Source organism: Homo sapiens, chromosome X, assembly GCF_000001405.40.
Source record: "Homo sapiens chromosome X, GRCh38.p14 Primary Assembly".
Classification (NCBI taxonomy): domain Eukaryota; kingdom Metazoa; phylum Chordata; class Mammalia; order Primates; family Hominidae; genus Homo; species Homo sapiens.
The window spans coordinates 76,144,319-76,146,501 of record NC_000023.11 but is presented as its reverse complement, the minus strand read 5'-3'; the positions used below and the strand labels follow the sequence as shown (position 1 = coordinate 76,146,501).

At 46.4% G+C, this 2,183-nt stretch overlaps 1 annotated feature.

The window, feature by feature from the left end:
• Positions 379-1,198: an enhancer, noted in NCBI's record as "H3K27ac hESC enhancer chrX:75365139-75365958 (GRCh37/hg19 assembly coordinates)". NCBI's record gives its function as "activates a minimal SCP1, AML or CMV promoter by ChIP-STARR-seq in naive and primed H9 embryonic stem cells {active_cell/tissue: H9 hESC(naive and primed)}" and the evidence as "EXISTENCE:reporter gene assay evidence [ECO:0000049][PMID:30033119]".

The following is a 2,183-nucleotide window of genomic DNA, read 5'->3' as shown; positions in this document are numbered from 1 at the left end:
GTAAAATAACCATATATTTAATCTTAAGGCTTTTACTTAGGTAAACACCTGAAATTCACAGGCTATAAAATGGTTGAAAAGGAAATAAAATGACTATCGCAGTTTCATAAATAATCTAGGTAAACTATTAGAAAAAGTAGGTAAATGTAATGAGATAAATGCTTTTAGACAAAACTTGTTATAATTTAGATTCTGAAGTTATAGTAAGATAAGTTATGACATTAACTGGGTATTTTTCAATTTAAAAAATATGGAAAGCTAATCAGAAACTCGAATGCAACCAGTGTGTCTTTATCTACCTATGACCTTCCTAGTCACCTCACCAATTCAAGTTGTCCCACCTTTAGAGACCGAACCAGTATACATCTTACATATTGATGTTTCATGTCTCCCTAAAATGTATGGAAGCAGGCTGTGCCCTGACCACCTTGGGCACGTGTCGTCAGGACCTCCTCAGGCTGTCATGGGCGCGTCCTTAACGTTGGCAAAATAAACTTTCTAAATTGACTGAGACACCTCTCAGATATCAGGGGTTCACAGCCCTATGGAAAAAAAAAAAAAAAAAAAGGCATATGTCAGAAAGTTTACAAGCAGGCTAGTCAACAAAGAATCTCACGTTAAAAATATTTTTTGTCGCTCTTCTGTCCATCAGATTGGCACAGAGATTTCAGAAAAGAAAAAGCGGGAGTTAGTAGGCCACCCTAAAAGCTGTGCCTCTACAGCGGAAAGAAACTTTGTTTTGACTCTGAGGAACGGCGCTTTTTTTCTAAACGCGAAGGGCGGGGTAAGAGCAGAGCTGCACGCATCTGTGAATACATACTGCCACCAAACGGGCATAATTTCACCGCGACGGAGAAAGTCTGGGAGGACGTTCTCTTTGCGGCCCAATTTCTGCTCTTTAGATCTGGAGCAGTCCACTGAGGGACCTGAACAAGATAAACGGGAAGGGAAAAGCGCCAGAAGTTCGAGCAGAGAACCCACCGGGCAGCCGGTGGGGGTGCCCCGGAAGTCGATTTGCAACTGGGAGGCGGGCGGTCTGCCGAAGTGCTGCCCCGGAAGCCATAGCAGTAGCAGAAGGACGTTCCCGCCCCGCTCCTTCCCCCGGCCCTCCCCCCGCCAGCCCTCCCCCAGCACCCCCCCCACCACCACGTTCCACCGCCTCTTCGGGGAGGCGGGAGCGCCGTGCCTGATGGGAGGTGTGGGCGTGTTGATCATGGGTGTAGGGAATTCGGCTGTCTCCTTTCTACCCGCCGCCCGAGTTTATTTTGTGCACGGTTTCTTTTGTAGCGGACGTTACTGGGAGGAATGAGGGCGAGGAAGAGAAAGACGTTAGTCCTCGGACCGTTTCCGAGAGTCATCTCCGGGAGTAATGCGAAGATGGACACGCTCAGTCCTGCCTGTGCATGCGCGTTCGCGTTGTACGGAATTCCCAAGCCAGCTGCGTAGTTTCTGCCTTGAAGCTATTTGGCGAGAAGTTTCGCCTGTTCCTTTACTTTGTGGGTCAGGGCTTGGGTGCTTGAGTGGGAGAAACAGAAAGCCAGCTAGCCCTGGAACCCCTTCTAAGATCGTCATCCACCCAGCCATCCATAAATCTGTTCATCCATGAAACAAATAATCATTGAGCACCCCTTATATGCCAGACACACGTAAGGATGCAAGGGCCGCGTTCTCATTCTAGTGGGTGGGGACAGAGAGTAAACAAATTATCTACTTAATTTCAGATAGTGGTAAGTGATAGAAAATAAAACGGGGTGATATTGTCAGAGGCGTTTGAACCAGAGCGACTCCATTCCGAGTGAGGGCTAGGAAAATGAAGCTGAGGCTTGCTGGGCTGCATTCCCAGAAAGTTAGGTATTCCCAGCCTCTAGATGTTTACGGTTAAGGGAACAAATTAATAACGTTTACTAAACAGACCCAGACTTGGGAGTGTCCAGATATTCCGATATCTGGAGAAGAAAGGCATTCCTAATTTTGCCTTAAAGATAACAACACTGATTCTTGCAAAACATAGTAATTAAGAAAATTAATCCTCTATCACAAACCCTTGTAGCAGAGCACATCTCCTCATATAACAAGCATTGTACCTAGGGTGGACGCATTCCTCCTCTTACTTTTGGGAACGTCCTACTCTGTCTATGGAGTAGCTGCCCTTTCACCACTGTGCTTTCTCAATAAACTTGCTT